Source organism: Homo sapiens, chromosome 12 (genome assembly GCF_000001405.40).
Source record: "Homo sapiens chromosome 12, GRCh38.p14 Primary Assembly".
NCBI classification, from domain to species: Eukaryota; Metazoa; Chordata; class Mammalia; order Primates; family Hominidae; genus Homo; species Homo sapiens.
The window spans coordinates 92849926-92868859 of NC_000012.12; the positions used below are offsets into that span (position 1 = coordinate 92849926).

Here is an 18934-nt window from a genome sequence, read left to right on the forward strand (position 1 = left end):
AGTAGTCATAACAAAATGTCTCCTATAATAAAGTAAAAAGGACAAAGGCTAGGATTTTTAAGCACATTTATGTATTATACATCTTAGAGTTTATTAAATGCTGACATATTATACAAGGGATTTACAGGCCAAAGTCATGTCATGTAAGAAATAGTAGAAGAACTGAAAATGTTTATCTTGGAAGAGAAATACTCCGAATAAATATGAGCAGTCTTCAAATACCTCATGTGGAAAGAGGAACAATTTATTCTGTGTAATTCCTAAGGACAGAACCAGAACCAGCGCATGTAAATTACAGGGAAACAAATGTCAGCTCAATAAAATAGACTTAGGAAGAAATATGCACACCGTACACCACCTAGCAAGGATTGTGGATCACTTAGCAGGGTTGGCATAAAGGGAAGTTCTGGACTGAATTTAGACTAGTTCAAGACTTCTTTCAAATTCATAATTCAAAGTCCATCAATTAGAAATAAGCTTATGGCCGGGTGCAGTGGCTCACGCCTGTAATCCCAACACTTTGGGAAGCCAAGACAGGCAGACCGTCTGAGGTCAGGAGTTCGAGACCAGCCTGGCCAACATGGTGAAGCCCCATCTCTACTAAAAATACAAAAATTAGCCAAGCGTGGTGGCAGGCACCTGTAATCCCAGCTACTTGGGAGGCTGAGGCAGAAGAATCACTTGAACCCGGGAGGTGGATGTTGCAGTGAGCTGAGATCACGCCACTGCACTCCAGCCTGGGTGACAGAGCAAGACTTTGTCTCAAAAAAAAAAAAAAAAAAAAAAAAAAAGAAATAAGCTTATTACAAAATAAGCCTTTCTTAAATATATTTTCTAAACAAAATTGGTAATATAATTGTAGAAAATGCTATCATTCTTCCTTTAAAGTCAATTACCATTTATCAACCAACCTTGAGTAAATTTAACCTTAAATATCATGTCAACAATATATATATTAAACAGAATAATAATCTTTATGCAAATATTCCTGAGTGTCTAGCTTTATAAAGCAAAACATACTGAGAGACCACATTGACTATAAACAAATATTATTCAGATCAAAAATGAAAGAAAGACAAATATTTTGATAGGCCACTCAGAAAAATCTCAAATCCTGGCTTCACTCAATAGTATACACTACACAAGCTAATATGAATCACATTTAAGTACAATGAACTTCATTACCTCTGAGCTAGCATATTGTGACTGCAATTTTTTGCATTCATCTTTGAGTTTTTCAGATTCTCGCTCACGTTCCAAGGTCATGTTATCCATTAGTGTTTGAACTTGGACCAGTTCTTTCTTTAGCACGGCAACATCTTCTATACCAGGTCTCTGAAGCTGTGAAACAACACATTTTAATTAAAAATTAAAGTGAAAAACTAAAATAATACACATTTTTAGAATCATTTCACTACAAAGGAATCAAAAGGGAAACAATCATCAATATCAATTTTTAGACTTCAAACATTGAACACTGATATCTTCTCCCACAATAAGCCACTTCCTCTTCCCATCCTACCTCATATTTAATAGTATTAATACTCAAGGTGCTGTATAGTAAATTCACAATTATCTTTACTACTTTATTTGTTTTCCTTCCCTTCACAAACTACATCTATTGGTCATAACAGTGACTTGAAAATGCTACATTCCTTCTTTTTCTATCCTACAAAACTGGTAATAAAAATGAAGGAGCAAATGAAAGCATAGAGTTTGCTCCAGGTTGGATGTAGTTAATTTATATATTTATTGAGAGCTAAATAAAGGAAAGAAAGTCAAGGACAGATCCAAGATTATTAAGTCTTGGGAGAGTATTAGAGATGTATGGTTCCAATAACAGAAATACAGTAATGAGGAAACATGATTACTTTGATTTTATACTTGTTGAATTTGAAATTAAAGCTAGAAATTCAACACAAAGTACCCTAAAAGCAGATGGATTTATAAAACAAACATGCAAGAGAAGACCAGGATCAGAGATGCAGATATGAAAACTACTAAAATGACAGATGATATTTAGATAGAAACAACAAAAATGTTAAGGTAGTAAGTTACGTATCATAACATTCCATTTTTATTTTAAAAATCATATACAGAATATATATGCAGGTGGTAGAATATAGGGAATTGCTTATTTCCTGATTTCACTCAAATTATATTTTTAAACATTTTCCTTCAGGGTATGTATTTTATTTTTAATTTAGAAAGGTATAAGAGTACATCTCAATAAATAATTCCTAAATTACCAGTTCCGTCTTCAGATCTTGAATTACAGTTGCCTCTTTGTTTAATTCTTCTGTCAGACGTGTCACTTTTTGTTCAGCAGCTTCTCGAAGACTCCTTTCTTCATCATACTTTGACTTTATATCTAATTAAAGATAGTTATATAAATATTAGTTTAAGGGGAGGACAGTTTTATAAGTTTCCATATATTACTCTGCATATCTGTATATCACTCTAATTCAAATTCACATTCCTTAGATAACCATAAATATATACAGTAAATTTATACTTCTAATTACATGAAATGAACTTAAAATTAACTGTCTACATAAATTCCACTCAACATTAAGTTAATAATTAGCATTTTAATGTACTTAATCACATATTTTACCTAAAAGCACATGTTAAAAACATATATATGTAATAGTATAACCAAGTGTTACATTTATACTACATTATTTACTTCACTTCTTTAAAATGTTCCTTTTTAATCTTTAAGCATGCCACAGAAGAAAATGTATCTTCTCTAAATTTCAAGAAGAATCTACAAAGAAACACCAGTCCTTTGAAGGCAGGCAGCTAGAGGACAAACAAAATAATTTACATAGCAACTCTGAAATCATTAAATTCCATTAATCACCATTGGAAGTCTATCACAAATGCTTTAACACACTAAAATACTATATTTATTGCTAGGGTATATAATGGCAAAAAGGTAATGAGATTGATTTATTGGCTAAAAAATTCTAACTCAATTTACCTGCAATTTCAGTAGCAAGTTGGGCTGCTTTCTGTTCAAATAAGTCTTTCATTTGCTTAATATTAAAATTTTCTGTTTGGGCTTCTTCTAATTGCTGTTCCAAAGACTGTAGTTCTACAAAAAAGTGTCGCAGTTATTCAAATACCATGTTAATTACATATGCTAAATTGTTATTACTTATATTTATTACAGTTGTAAAGATGATCAACTTAAGTTTATTATCCAATTACAAGTAGTATTTTGACACTTCAAGAAATTAAGTATATCTGCTTCACTTAAGGTACAAATCATAATTTACAAACATACACTACAAATGAAATGAATATTTAGAATCACTGCTAAATAATCTATAAATATTTTATTACAAGTTATTTTGATTTCACATTTCACAGTTATTTTCCCATATCCATCAAATGACCAAAAAGGAATACACCCCTTATCTTTTTTTTAAGAGATGGGGTCTCGCTATGTTACGGAGGCTGATCTTAAATTCCTGGGTTCAAGCCATCCTCCCCTATCAGTATCCCAAAGTGTTGGGATTATAGGCATGAGCCACCAAGCCTGGCTCAAAAAGGAAAACATTCTGCTCCTCTGATAAAATTAGTTATAAAGCGGGATGTTGGAAATGGTTAAGATCTCAAGGCCTTTTAATTCATTAAAGTATGCAGTCAACTCCTAATACTTCATCATAAAGAAAATAAACTATCTTACTCTTAATATAGACTTAAAATTTCATTAAACAACCATATTAATGTAATATTCCAGAAGTTTCTTACTTCAAAATATAATGAACTAAAAAAACTAAACTTTTAGTTAACTGATTAAATTATGAAGTTCACATGTAACTCTCTACACCTAGAATATGACCATTATCTTCACTGTTTTAGAGTCATAAAGCATAACCATGAAACAAAATTCATTTGGCAGGCATCAAAGAAAAAGAAAGGAAAACAAATAAGAAGAAAAAGAAAACTGACAAAATATCTGCTTTAAGTAAAGTTACCTGCTGATGAATCAGTCACCAACCCATCAGGTTTGGCCTCCTCAATTAAAACAAAAGACATAAACAAATGAATTAAAAGGAAAAGATAATACTGTTAAAATGGTCAATGTTAAAAAATCTCTGAAAGTCACTTTCTTTCAGGTAAGTAGTAAGATTTTGGTGAAAATTTAAATTTGGTGGTTTCCATTCTTCCAGATCTGTAAGAGACCAGCAGGCAGACTAGCCTAATGATCTAACTTCAGTTTATTAGTTCTAACATAGATTTTTTTGTATGTTAATATATATGAAGTTATTATGGTCATCTTAAATTCCATGAATTCAGTAATAAATAAATAGCACAATTATTGTAATTATAAATATAGATTCTAAAACAAATACTTAAGTCAACTGGCAACATTCAATCGTATTAGTATGTAGCTTTGAAATAACTTCTAACACTAACATAGTTTGCTACATGGATGCTACATATTTTGCTGTCATAAGAACTTGGAGTGTTATCCCCCTCCGCTCAAGCATGTAATACCTGTTAGACCCCATATGTGAGAACTTGGAATGAACTTCTCCTCTCTTCAGTAGTATTACATCAGACCTTATCATACCGCAGATCTGAGCTACTGACCTCAACTACTGGACTTCAAAATACATATTAACCAAAGAGTTTGAAAGATACTTTGAAAGCTTAGGCCATGGCAGGCTGCACTTTTTCAGCTGCTTTCTTTGAGACTGGCAGCTCATGCTGCAATAGGGCCATATCCTATTGGCCTTAGATCTTTGAGTCTCGGCAGCCAACACCTACATCTCCTCTAGCAGCAGGAGATCCCCATTGTCTGGGATCTCCACTGTTTTGGATGCCATCTCTCCAGAGAGACTGCTCATAAAAAAAGGTACACCTCAACCCTTTTAGACTTTACTTTTCACAAAAGCCTGCTTCCATCCTGAGAAAGTGACTAGACTTTAATAATTTTGGAACTCACCCACTATATGGTTAATATACCTCATCTATTGATATTCCCTGTAAGATTTGTTCATGTTATTTCTCTCCCTTTTAAGCACTGTGAACCGAAGAAAATCTCTCTTTGGCAATAAACCATGCAATTCATGAAATCATACTTCAAATCATGCTTCTTATTACAATCAAACAGAACACCTATAATAGTTGAACATTTGCATTAGTTAAAACATGCTATCAAGCTATCACTACTAAAACTTGCATTAGTTAAAACATCCTATCACGGCCGGGCGCGGTGGCTCACGCCTGTAATCCCAGCACTTTGGGAGGCCGAGACGGACGGATCACGAGGTCAGGAGATCGAGACCATCCTGGCTAATATGGTGAAACCCCGTCTCTACTAAAAATACAAAAAATTAGCCGGCCTGATGGCGGACGTGCCTGTAGTCCCAGCTACTAGGAAGGCTGAGGCAGGAGAATGCTGTGAACATGGGAGGCGGAGCTTGCAGTGAGCCGAGATCGCGCGCCACTGCACTCCAGCCTGGGTGACAGAGCGAGACTCTGTCTCAAAAAAAAAAAAAAAAAAAATGCTATCAAACTATCACTACTAAAAAAATTGGCTTTATAAGCATAAATTTTTAATTCAGGACAAGTCAACTTTAAAAGAAGCAGAAATAACAGATTCCATAAGGCTTAATTTGTCACATGTATTAGGAACAAAATAATATACTACCTTGGCATTATTTTTATATTTTAAAGAATTATACCCATCTGAAAGAGTTTAATAAGGCATTTCCTAGTATATCTGACTTTTTGTTTCTCTATACATTGAACTAAGACATACTGATTGCTAAGAACCTTAAGTATTTAAAATATATTTTCCCCAAAAGGTAAATTTCCTGCCAAGGTAACTTACATCTTGCACTGTGGAAAAGTTATTTAAGTGTATTAAATGTGAAATAGTCATCTCAAATGCAGTAAACAATTTCCACTCTGCTTTCAGATACAGAAAAGAATACAGCCCATACTCAATTAATTATTAATGGCATCTATATAAAACATGAGTAAATGAGTTATAAGTAATTTGGATTACTAAAAACTCCTTTAATGTTAACAGAATCACCAATTAGAAAAGCTGAGTAGTAATAAGACTGATTATCTTGTCATTTATTTATTTGTTTTTGTCTTTTTCAGTCCAACTGCCAATTCTTGGTGCAAAGGCTTTAAAAAGCAAACAAGCCTCACTGAAAGTCACAATATGCCAAGATAACATGCAAAGGGATTATTAATTACTTTACAAAAATATTAGAACTATTGCTGAAGGGTAACTACTTTTATTCTTACAAATGATGACTATGGTAAAATTATTTGGTAAAACTTCGTTAATCTTTGATTCTTCCTATAATTTCAGAATAAAATCAATATAATTTCAGCATAAAAATCATAATTAAGGCATTTACTTAGAAAATACACTAAACTATATAGAATCTAAGACATCAAAAAAATCCTATTCAAAGAGAACCACTTTTGATACTGCAGTGATTTTCTTCTGTTTTTCTCTATGTATTATTTTTATGTAAAGTCATACAGAATATGAGTGTGTGTGCATGTATGTACAAATACACATTTTTTAGTTTTTTAAAAACTTAACATTGTTAATAGAACAGGTTTCCCAGTTTTCAATCTTCACTAACATAATACATAATATTACTAGCTATTTATAGCTAGTAATATCTCTTTCCCTACCAATATACACTTTAGTCATTATCAATTTGTCAGAAACTTAAATGCTTTGAAGACTCACTACTGTTTGAACCTATTTTTTTTAACCATTTAGGTATATTACAAAACATTAGGATAATACAGCCTGGTATAAAAAAAAACAACATATAGATACCTGATTCTTTTTTTTTTTTTTTTTTTTTTGAGGCAGAGTCTTGCTCTGTTGCCCAGGCTGGAGAGCAGTGGTGAGATCACAGCTCACCACAGCCCTGAAATCCAGAGGTCAAGTGAATCTCCCATCTCAGCCTCTCAAGTAGCTGGGACCACAGGCACATGGCACCACACTCAGCTAATTTTTAAATTTTTTGTAGAGACAGGGGTCTCCCTGTGTTGCCCAGGCTGGTCTCGAACTCCTGGCTCAAGCAACTCTCTCGCCTCAGCCTCCCAAAGTGCTGGGATTACAGGCGTGGGCCCATCCAGTAACTCATTTTTAATGGAACACCTTTTAAAAAATTACATCTTCACTCCTCATACATTTGTTTGCATTCATCAGAATTCAACACAGAGAAACAAATTAGGAAGTTATTTATATCAGGCCGCCACCTGCTTGCAAAAAGGTATTAAGTTTAGTTTTCAACAATAAAAATAAACAACTAATAAACATGCTTTAAGTAGTTAAAAGCAATTACTTGCTGCTGCAGCCCTTGATATTTTTCTAATTCCTTCTTTAATTCTTCCGAGTACCATTTTTCTTCCTAATAAAAAAGATTTTTAATTAGTAAATTTAAAAAGAGGTATTATCTGAAACACTGAAAATAAAAAGGTATAACAATTTTTATTCTTACCTTAAGTGAAGCCTGTAGGTCTTGGACCTCTTGTCTGAGCAGTGTTACATCATCTCTAAATAAAAATGGGAGGAAGGAATTAATAGTCAATGTCCTTTAATTAACAAACTGGTCTTAAGAAATCATGGCTAGTAATTGTATATTAATATTATAGTTTTTTCAATTCAAAAAAAAACTACGGAAGATTTTATCTATAATAGCATATATATAAATCCCTCAGAAAAACGATTTTATTCCTAAAGCTTACTGTTTATAAATGGAAAAAACATTTTCTCATGGAAATAATCATATAACTGACTGTTAAGTGCCCAAGCCAAGAGGCAAAATGTCTCCCATTAATTTACTAACAATAAGCATCAATGGCTTCCTATTGTAGTTAGCATAAAATCTAAACTCATTAACATGGACTACAAAATATACATAATCTAGTCATTGCCTTATCACTCTCCCCTTCATTCATTTAGCTCTATCAACATTGGCTTCCATCTTTCATACTGAGAAAAAGCCCTGGTTCACTCTGCACCACCATTGGTTACGCCCTGATACTGCGCACTGAGTAGAATGCCGTCTGCAACTTGCGCATTTCGCAGCTGCCATCTTGCCGCTGCTCCTTCTCAACGCCACTTCCACTCACTGCCACCAACACCAACATGAACGGGAGCTCAACAGCTTCCACTAGGTGTTCATTGAGAAGGGCACATTCCTCTTCACCTCAGAGTTGGTGGGGGAAGGCCCACCCAGATAAGATCTGTGACCAGATCAGTGAGGCTGTCCTTGATGCCCACCTTCAACAAAATCCTGATGCCAAAGTAGCTTGTGAAACTGTTGCTAAAACTGGAATGATCCTTCTTGCACGTGAAATTACATCCAGAGCTGCTGTTGACTAACAGAAAATGCTTCGTGAAGCTATTAAACACATTGGATATGATGATTCTTCCAAAGGGTTTGACTACAAGACTTGTAATGTGCTGGTAGCCTTGGAGCAACAGTCACCAGATATTTCTGAAGGTGTTCATCTTGACAGAAATGAAGAAGACATTGGTGTTGGAGACCAGGGCTTGATGTTTGGCTACGCCACTGATGAAACTGAGGAGTGTATGTAGGCCTTTAACCATTGTCTTAGCATACAAGCTTAAAGCCAAACTGGCAGAACTACGCCATAATGGCACTTTGCCTGGGTTATGCCCTGATTCTACAACTCAAGTTACTGTGCACTATATGCAGGATTGAGGTGCTATGCTTCCCATCAGAGTCCACACAATTGTTATATCTGTTTGGCATGATGAAGAGGTTCGTCTTGGTGAGATGAGGGATGCCCTAAAGGAGAAAGTCATCAAAGCCATTGTGCCTGCAAAATACCTTGATGAGGATACAATCTACCACCTATAGCCAAGTGGCAGACTTGTTATTGGTGTGCCTCGGGGTGATGCTGGTTTGTATGACTGGACAGAAAACCATTATGGACACTTACAGAGGTTGGGGTGTTCATGGAGGAGGTGCCTTTGAGGAAAGGATTATACTAAGATCAACCGTTCAGCTGCCTATGCTGCTCATTCAGTGGCAAAATCCCTTGTTAAAGGAGGTCTGTGCAGAACGGTTCTTGTTCAGGTCTCTTATTCTATTGGAGTTTCTCATCCATTATCTATCTCTGTTTTCCATTATAGTACCTCTCAGAAGAGTGAGAGGGAGCTACTAGAGATTATAAAGAAGAATTTTGATCTCCACCCTAGGGTCATTGTCAGGGATCTGGATCTGAAGAAGCCAATTTATCAGAGGACTGCAGCCTATGGCCACTTTGGTAGGGACAGCTTCCCATGGGAAGTGCCCAAAAAGCTTAAATATTGAAAGTTTTCATCTTTTTTCCCCATACTTGTTGGCAAAGGCAACAGAGAAGCCTTCAAGCTCTGAGGGAAAGGGCCTTCCTTCCTAAATTTTCCTGTCCTGTTTCAGCACCTGATCAGTTGTAGTCACTCTAGTCAATGACATGAATTTTAGCTTTTGTGGGTAAGTTGGGCTTGCTATTCTGTCCGTAGGTGTTTTGTTTATCAATAATGAATTTAGTGAGCATAGGTGATCCATGTAACTGCCTAGAAACAACACTGTAGTAAATAATCTTCGGTGTTTTGTTGGGCTTGCTATTCTGTCCCTAGGTGTTTTGTTTACCATTGTAATGAATTTACTGAGCACAGGTGATCCATGTAACTGCCTAGAAACAACACTGTAGTAAATAATGCTTTGAAATTGAACATTTGTGCCCTACCCAACGCTCCAAAGTCCTAATTGCGTTGACTTTCCCACACCAGATGCTGAAAATGTCCACATAAAGTACTTGTAGTTCCGCTTATAGCCTCTGCCTGGCAATGCCACAGCCCTGTCAGCATGAATTTGTAATATCTTGAGCTCTATTATGAATGTGAAGCCTTCCCCTTATCCTCCCTGTAACTTGATCCATTTCTAATTATGAGCTCTTTGTCAGGGTGTGTTCCCTATCTGATCAGTCTTGTATGTAACGCAAGTTCCCAGTTGGAGCTCTAGCCTGACATCAAAAAAAGGCAGTTACCATTAAACCATCTCCCTGGTGCTTACGCTCTTAATTGCCACCTCTTTAACAGCACCAAATCAAAATCTCTCCACTTTCAGCTGTATTTTGGAGGACATACACGCAAGGTTTTAATTTAGTAAACCAATCCTATGCATGGTTTCAGCACTAGCCACACCTCACCAACTCCTAGCTCTAGAAAAAAAGGCACCTGGCATCTTTGTGATGCCATACAGGGAAGTCACAGGCCAGTACCTGAGGGTCTGAAGGTTGCACACTTTAGTACCAGATAACGTTTTTTTTTCTTTATAAGAAAGCCTGAGTACTCCACACTGCACAATAATGCCTCCCAGGGTTTTAGTTTTGTTTTATTTTCAAAACCAGATCCAATGAGCTTTCTCAACAGCTGGTGTAGCTACAGAGAAGTCAGCTTCCTTCAGAAAGCAGTGTTTTTGGCGGGGAGGAGGAAATCCCTTCATACTTGAACATTTTCTAATTGCTTATTTATTGTATTCTGGGGTATGGCCTTAAGTACAGTGAAGCTATCACCTCAAATGGCAGCTTTAAAAAAATTTTTTTTCTCTCAATACCATGATTACCATGATTCCTTTAACATGTTTCCAGCATTCCTAGGTAGGCCAAGGTGTCCTACAGAAAAACCTTGGGTTTGACCTACAGGGGGTTTGGCTGGTGTTAACAGAAGGGAGGGCAGAGCTGGTGTGGCTGGCCATGGAGAAAGCTGACTTAGCTGGTGTGATACAGAGAAGCCAGCTTGTTTACATGCTTATTCCATGACTGCTTGCCCTAAGCAGAAAGTGCCTTTCAGGATCTATTTTTGGAGGTTCATTATATATGTCTGGTTCTCAATTCCAACAGTTTAATGAAGATCTAAATAACATGCTAGGTTCTACCTTAAAAAAAAAAAAGAAGACAAAGAAGAAGAGGAGGAGGAGGAAGAGGAAGAAGAAAAAGAGGAGCAGCAGCAGCTCTGTAAATAGGGGGGAAATACACACAACACACACAAAACACTGCTTATTTCTGTTCCTTTGGGTATGACATGCTCTTTCCTGTCTCAGAAGCTTCTCACATTCTGTTCCCCTCACCTAAGGGTCAAACTGACAAAGAATGGTGAACTGACCATTCTAAGCCCTTCTGCAGGAGAGAGATTTCATGAGAAAACATCATTATAAAGAATTATTATTCTGGCCGGGCACGGTGGCTCACACCTGTAATCCCAGCACTTTGGAAGGCCGAGGCGGGCAGATCACCTGAGGTCAGGAGTTCGAGACCAGCCTGACCAACATGGAGAAACCCCATCTCTACTAAAAATACAAAATTAGCCGGGCGTGGTGGCGCATGCCTGTATTCCCAGCTACTCAGGAGGCTGAAGCAGGAGAATCGCTTGGACCCAGGAGGTATCGGTTGCGGTGAGCCGAGATTGTGCCATTGCACTCCAGCCTGGGCAACAAGTACAAAACTCAGTCTCAAAAAAAAATTATTATTCTGGATGTCAGGAACATATCTTCCCCTGCTGGATTCAAATTCATCCTACAGATATACTCAAACAAGTACAAATGGTATCTCCAAAGGAACTTTGTGATGTCATAAGTATGCAAAACATGAGAAATAACCTGAATAGTCATCAACCAAAGAATGAGAAAATTCCATGCTATCATTAAAAAGATAAGATAGCTCTATCTACCTTGATATGAAAGAATCCATAAGATACAGAGAGAAACAAAAGATACAGAACAACGTAGAATTGCTATCTTTTATATAATTACATATATTTATATATTTATTTATATGTACATAGATATAAGCATATGAATATATAAGCATAGAATATCTCTGGAAGAATACGTAAGAAATTGATGAAAAAAAGAGGCTAGGGAAAAAGGGGTGGCAAGCGCTCAATTTTCACCATAAACTTTTTTGAACCATCTGAATTTTGTACTATGTACATCTACATATGTACATTTAAAGATCTAGCCTAAAAAAGCTCACTAATGCATCAAGCTTCAAATATTTGATTGATGTTGATGAAATTCGCATATAAGCTGATGAACAGAAGGCTTTAAAGCAAAAAGGTTTCATGACCCACCTGAGTCATGTGGACTTTTGATCTAAAAGACATAGCCTGCTCATAGTCACATGTCATCCACAGTGTTATAGTGGAGTAGAATGTAATTGTCAGAAACTGAGGTGTAGGAAAATGGGAAGAAGAGATACAATACAATAAAAACGGAAACGCATGCAGTAACTTCCGTAAGCAATGAGAAGCCTGCAAAAATTACTACTTAGAGCAATGCCAATCAAATTTGCATTTTAAGAATATTATTCTGGCCAGGCGCAGTGACTCAGGCCTGCAATCCTAACACTTTGGCAGGTTGAGGTGGGAGAATTCCTTGAGGACTTCTTGAGGTTCTTGAACAACATAGTGAGACACTGTCCCAAAAAGAAAAAAAAAGTAAAAATTAGCCAGGCATGTTGGTCCATGCCTGTAGTCCCAGTTACTTGGGAGGCTGAGGCACGAGGATTACTTGAGACCAGGAGTTGGAGGCTACAGTAAGCTATGACTATACCAGCCTGGAAAACAGAGCAAGATCCTATCTCTAAAAAAAAAAGAAAAAAGAATATTATTCTGGCAGCAATATGGAGAATTGGAGGAGTACAAGACTAAAGATAGAGAGCCAACTATAAATATGAAAAAACATTTCTGAGTGAGATTTAAGGCCTAAAATAAACTATAACAGTAAAAATGTAAAAGAATATATGCTGTTAAGGAAACAGAATTAACTAAACTTTATGATAAATCAGATGCGGGTAGGAGGAGCAGATGTGTAAAAATGATCACACCTACTTTCCTGGCTTTACTAACTGGGTGGACAGATAATGACACCATTCTCCAGAAGAAGTAATAGTAGACAAGCAGTAGGTTTAGAAGAAAACAGAAAAAACTCTGTTTTCAAAATGTCAATGATGAGGTGCCTCCAGAACATCTGAGGGAAGATACCTAATAGGCAAGTTGGGAGATAATTCTAGGTTGGAGATATGGTTTAGGAGGAAGTTATGGATGTAGATATTACCCTAGGTAGATCATACAGAGAAAGAGCAGCATACAAAACAGATCAAGAAAAAATTATCACAATGGTATGTCATCTCAGAAGAGTAGAAGGAAGGAGAACTGGCACAGCCAAATTTTGCAGTGGTTGTTGCAGATACTCTACAGAGATGACTACAATCAAGTTCTTCCTTTCCTATACTAATCCACTAAAAGACAAAGTTTATCTTCAGGCCTCATGAATCTGACTTGGCACTATGACTACTTTATCCAATAGAATGGCAGAAGTGATGCTCTGACACTTTTGAATCAAGCCTAAAGAAGATTGGCAGCTTCTGCTTCTTTCCTCTTGGAACATACTACCTTAGAACGAACTACCAGCTTTTGAGGAAGTCCAAGCAGCCACATAAAGAGGCCCACATGAAAGAGAATTGAAGCCTTTGGCATAAAGCCCCAGATGAGCTCCCAGCTGGCATCCAACACAGACTTCCAGCCATGAATGTGAGGCCATTTTGAACCTTCTGGTCTTCCTACAACCCCAGTCTCCCTCACTTAAAGCAAAAGAATCATGCAGTCAATTCAAAGAATCATGAGAATTCATAAACTGTTATAGTTTTAAACCACTATGTTCTTTGGGTAGATTGTCAGACAGTAATAGATAATCAAAACAGAGGTCAAGCAAAATAAGAACTGAAAATAATCCAGGTTACTGTTGGTCTTCAGAGCCATAGCCAGAGAATGGTAGGGCAGAAGTCAGGCTTCAATTAACTAAAACACTAAATGAAAAGTTAAGAAGAACAAGGGTAGACCGTGGATGCTTTTATGTTAAAAGTTCATATACTGGACACAGTCTAATTCATAGTTGAAACACAACTCTATTAAATTGATATTAAATATAAGAACATTTATAATATAATTTAACTACATGTTTTTAATGTATTTCCTAACAAATGACAAAAGAATAGTAGCCAAAATTATTAATTCACACATAAAAATACCCGAGAGCATTAGCAGTCATATTAAAAAGGAAGATCCATTCTTCCCAAAAGCACTGGTTTTCCCACATATTTTAATACAGTAAAATGGCCATGTTTTATAGATCTACATTATCTATCAACCACAAAGTTTATATGGTTATCATATTTTCCTTTATGTAGTATTCTTTGTGTTACAGCAGATTAATCAACCAGTAAGTTTTTTTTTAGGAAAGCATAAAAATACTTTTTTACAAGTACAATGAAGTGAAACTTTTATGCCCTCAGTGGGGATAAAAGACAAGAGTTCTCTCCAATAGCAGAAGAAATGCAAAGTTATACCATTGAATGCTATTCTAAGTAGTTATATTTTAGTTTACTTTTACTTCTTAAAATGGCCAAGAAAAATTACCAGGAAACACAATGTGTACGTATGCTTATTGCTATACTGGTGATTATAAATGGAAATTTTTAAATTTTAAATTAAAAATTAAATTTTAATTGTTGGCTAAATTTATTATTTTAACAACTTACTATAAAGTCATCTAAGCAAATCGTATCATCTTATATTACACACAATATGCTAAATATAATTTAATCTTCTTTTGCTAACTCACAATCTTCATTAAAAACATAACCTATGTACCGTATTGTACTTGCTGGCATAGATAGTTACTGGTCAAGGATTGAATAGTTTTTAACAATAGTGGAGGAAGGATATGCTAAATGATGACAGATTTAAATTAAATAATACAAAAAGGTTACTATTTTCATAAGCTAATTAATCATGATTAAACGACGATACCACATGCATATTCCATAACATTATACTTCAAAATTATCATACCGTACCGCTTCAAAGCAAGATTAGACTCTCCTCCATGACCTGAGTCATTACCAGCATCATGAACAGCTTCATAATGTTTGAAAAGTTCATCAGCAGATCCAAGAGATTTCATACACTGGGGACATATGAAACCCTATAGAAAGGGGCAGAAAAAAGTTTCAAAATAGTATTTAATATTGTGAAATAACAATTTGCATATTATTAAATATCACCAAATGTCTGAATCATACCAATGGTGCCATTAGGTAAATTTTATCTTATGGTATTAATCCCAAATTCTAGTATCATGCAAAGATACTTCATTGTCTATTCTAGTTGAAGTTTACAAAATACAAAGAAAGCCCTTGCAACCATCTTTTATTTTTAGGTCAGATAAATTAATAGCTGGAGTACCCAAGTCTAATCTGAAAAGTTAGTTCTAATATAGATTAGTTGAGAAGATTTGCCATCATATCCTTCCTTTCTCTAGCTATCCTCATTAGTAAAATAATATCTGTTCCAATCTACTTCATAGGAATGCTATGAAAAAAAAAAAAAGAAGATGAACCACTGAGGGGGAAAAAAAGTAATTCATAATCACCACAGAGTTTGGATATCTACAATGATAACAAGTTTTCTAGTCAGTAAATGTCCTTGCTAACCTACAGCTAACACAGTAAAGGCCTAAAATTAATGTGTAGCCCCATAAAATATAAAAAACAAACATAACTACATAACTAATCTCAAAATTATTATATGGTTAAAACTACCAACTAGAGTACTATGTTAAAGATGCTGATAAAGATCCATGTTTTACAAATTTTAGGTTGCAATTCATTAATGAATTATGAAATCAACTTACTGGGTTGCAACTTTTATTTTTTTATTTTATTTTATTTTATTTTATTTTATTTTATTTTATTTTATTTTGAGAATGAGTCTCGCTCCGTCACCCAGGCTGAAGTGCAATGGTGCAATCTTGGCTCACTGCAAACCTCCACCTCCTGGGTTCAAGCGATTTTCCCTGCCTCAGCCTCCCGAGGAGCTGGGATTACAGGCACCCGCCACCACGCCCAGCTAATATTTGTGTGTTTTTAGTAGAGATGGGGTTTCGCCATGTTGGCCCGGTGGTCTCGAACTCCTGACCTCAGGTGATCCACCCGCCTCGGCCTCCCAAAGCATTGGGATTACAGGCATGAGCCACCATGCCCAGCCGGGTGTGGTGGCACACACGTGTAGTCCCAGCTACTCAGGAGGCTGAAGTAGGAGAATTGCTTGAACCTGGGAGGTGGAGGTTGCAGTGAGCCAAGATCATGTCACTGTACTCCAGCCTGGGTGACAGAGCAAGACTCCTTCTCAAAAAAAAAAAAAAAAAAAAAAAAGAATATTTGTAGTCATTCATTAAATCAAAGATTTTTTTAAAATAGTAATTAGCAAAATCATGATAAAGTTATTACACATACAATTCTGCTAATTAAAGGTAGCAAGAAATAAACTTGTTTTGCTTCCATCAAGTACACCACAATTCTAAAATTCCCCTCTATTAGAGATACAAAAATAAAATGGAATGTGTGTGGCAGTGGTGCTTCGGCACTGTAAGCAACAAGTAAATATATTATAACTTTGAAGGTTCTATGGAAAGTAAGTTTTATTAGAATGTACAGCTTTTACATATAAGAATGGTCATCCTCTCTTGATTCTATAAAAAAAAAAAAATACAATTCCCTTTAAAGATCACTGTTCCCCAGGGCTCTCTCATTGACCTCCTCCTCTTCTGACTCAGCATTCTCCCAGGTATATAACAATGCAATGGTTTTAGCTATCACTGACATGCTGATGACTCCCAAATCCATCTATCTAGCCAATAACTCACTCCAGAATTCTTCTGGATCTTTAACAACATATATCTCTACCTGCATCCCACAGGCATCTCAAATACAACAAATGCAAGACTCATTTTCCAAACCTCCTTTTCTCATCAACGCCCACCTTTCACCTAAACTAGAAACCTAAAAATTTGGCTAAACTACTCACTACTCTCCCTCTCACTCATTTCTAATAAAACATTAAGCATAAACATTTCTCCTTTCCATCTTCTCATCTCCATCCTCATTGCAGCTGCTCGTGTTCGGATACTCAGTATCTCTTGTCCACACTCTGCAATAACATTAGAAACAGTGCTCCTATATCCAGTCTTCCCTCTTCCTAATTAATCTTCCACAGAGCTGCCAGAGGAATCTTTCTAAAACAGATTCTTCAATATCCTTCAGCAAACTTTATCATCAATATGGCATACAAGGTTCTGCATAACCATTCCCCTAACAACCTATGCAGTCTGATCTCCAGACACTCCCTCACCATACTTCAACAATACTAAAATACCTGCGTTTCCCTGAGCACGCCATCATACTTCAAATTTCTGTGCCTTTGCGTATACTGCTTTTTCCCTCCAGGAGCACCCTCATTAGCTTGTCAAGTTCCTATACTCACTGTAATACACAGCATATTGGATTTTTTTCATCCATATTTCCATAATGGCCACAGGTGGTACTTTAAACATACTATATTTTTCTATATTGTATATTTATTCACTGAAATATGAATGAACATGGCAGTGCAAAAATTGGCCAAAAAAAAGAAGATCTTTAATAGCTTACAGATTATAAAATCTTCTAAGGGAGAAAATGAGCTAAGCAATAAGTACTCTGAGCACGTAAAAACTAAAAATAAATAAATAAAAAAACTGCTCCTTGAATGCTGATGCCAAAAAATGTACATCCTCATTTATTATTTGTGCACATTATGTGGCAGAATCAAGGCTCACTGTTTATTGGGGATACTGATATGTAGACAAATATTACCATACAATGCTATATAATACAATTATATATAAAGAATTACAGGAACACAGGAGAAGTATCCAACTCCACCTGTGGCAGCAGTTAATACTTTACAAAAATACATATACACATACATATTATATATGTGTCTCATCTCCATCCTCATTGCAGCTGCATAGTGTATGTGTGTGTGAGAGAGAGAGAGAGACACAGTCACTGGAATTCAGTACGAAAGAATAAATAGGAGTTTACCTGGCAGAGAGAAAAGCATTCTAAGCAAATGGAGGAGCATAAACAAAGGTGCAGGAAACACTATGAATAGTCATGTTACATTTAGGAAACAGAAGGCTTCTAGGTGTGTTCTGATCACAGAGCCAGAATGAAGGGCAGGGGCACAACAGGTGATAAATGCAATAATCTCCTATGAAACTCCTGAAATGAGCAAACGGTAGTATTGAGGATGTGCCTCTGGACATCAGAATACAGTAATGCCATTAGGCTCCAGAGATATGGTACTCAACATTGTCTTCTGAATGAATGAATGCTCCCAGTCAGGATGTTAGTCTAGCTGCTGTTATTCTCCTTTTCTTCAAAACCATCTGTTGGCATTCTTAGATCTCCTACCCACTGTTGTACAACACTAGTAGATATGCCTTTAGTGCAACAGTACATGTACCCATATAATGTTTAGCCTGTCATTTCTCTTTTGTGTCTCAACTTCTGCTAATAACTAGAAAGCAAATGAAAAAGTGTTCCTCGGAGAAGCTACATCCCTATTACACGATTTAATCTTCACAACTGTGGCTTTTTGACTATTGGCTCCACTTTCAGGTTTGGGCTCCAGATACCTAAGTGTGCCAGAAAGCTAATGATCACACTGAGGTATGCCATACCTTCTTACAACTTCCAAAAATTACCAGATTAATACCCTGAAATAAATGATTCATTCCTAATGAGAAATTTCAGAAATCAGTAACATACATTTCATTATAGAAATATTCCACATAAGTGAATTTTCCATGTGATTAAGATTTCCTTGTTTAAATAAAACTTAAATTTGGGGACATTTCTAATAAAAATAAATCTTTCTAAAATACATATAATTCCGCACCTTCTCAAATAGATGATATTAAACCTTTGTCTAATACCTCCAAGACATAAATATTTATCACTGAAAAGATGTCTT

General features: G+C 35.9%; 1 protein-coding gene and 1 pseudogene across 2 annotated transcripts in view; one reads left to right on the plus strand and one right to left on the minus strand.

The window, feature by feature from the left end:
* EEA1 (early endosome antigen 1) overlaps window positions 1–18934 on the minus strand; it is a 158659-nt gene that overhangs the window by 79289 nt on the left and 60436 nt on the right. For both annotated transcript variants that reach the window (NM_003566.4, XM_011538814.3), the window contains 7 exons: window positions 14935–15062; window positions 7506–7560; window positions 7350–7415; window positions 3990–4029; window positions 2987–3100; window positions 2250–2371; window positions 1186–1341 (listed from right to left, as the gene is read on the minus strand). In NM_003566.4, coding sequence (NP_003557.3) covers window positions 1186–1341; window positions 2250–2371; window positions 2987–3100; window positions 3990–4029; window positions 7350–7415; window positions 7506–7560; window positions 14935–15062 — 681 coding nt within the window. The remainder of the gene's footprint in view (window positions 1–1185; window positions 1342–2249; window positions 2372–2986; window positions 3101–3989; window positions 4030–7349; window positions 7416–7505; window positions 7561–14934; window positions 15063–18934) is intronic.
* Window positions 8016–9547, plus strand: LOC100287544 (s-adenosylmethionine synthase type-2-like; annotated as a pseudogene).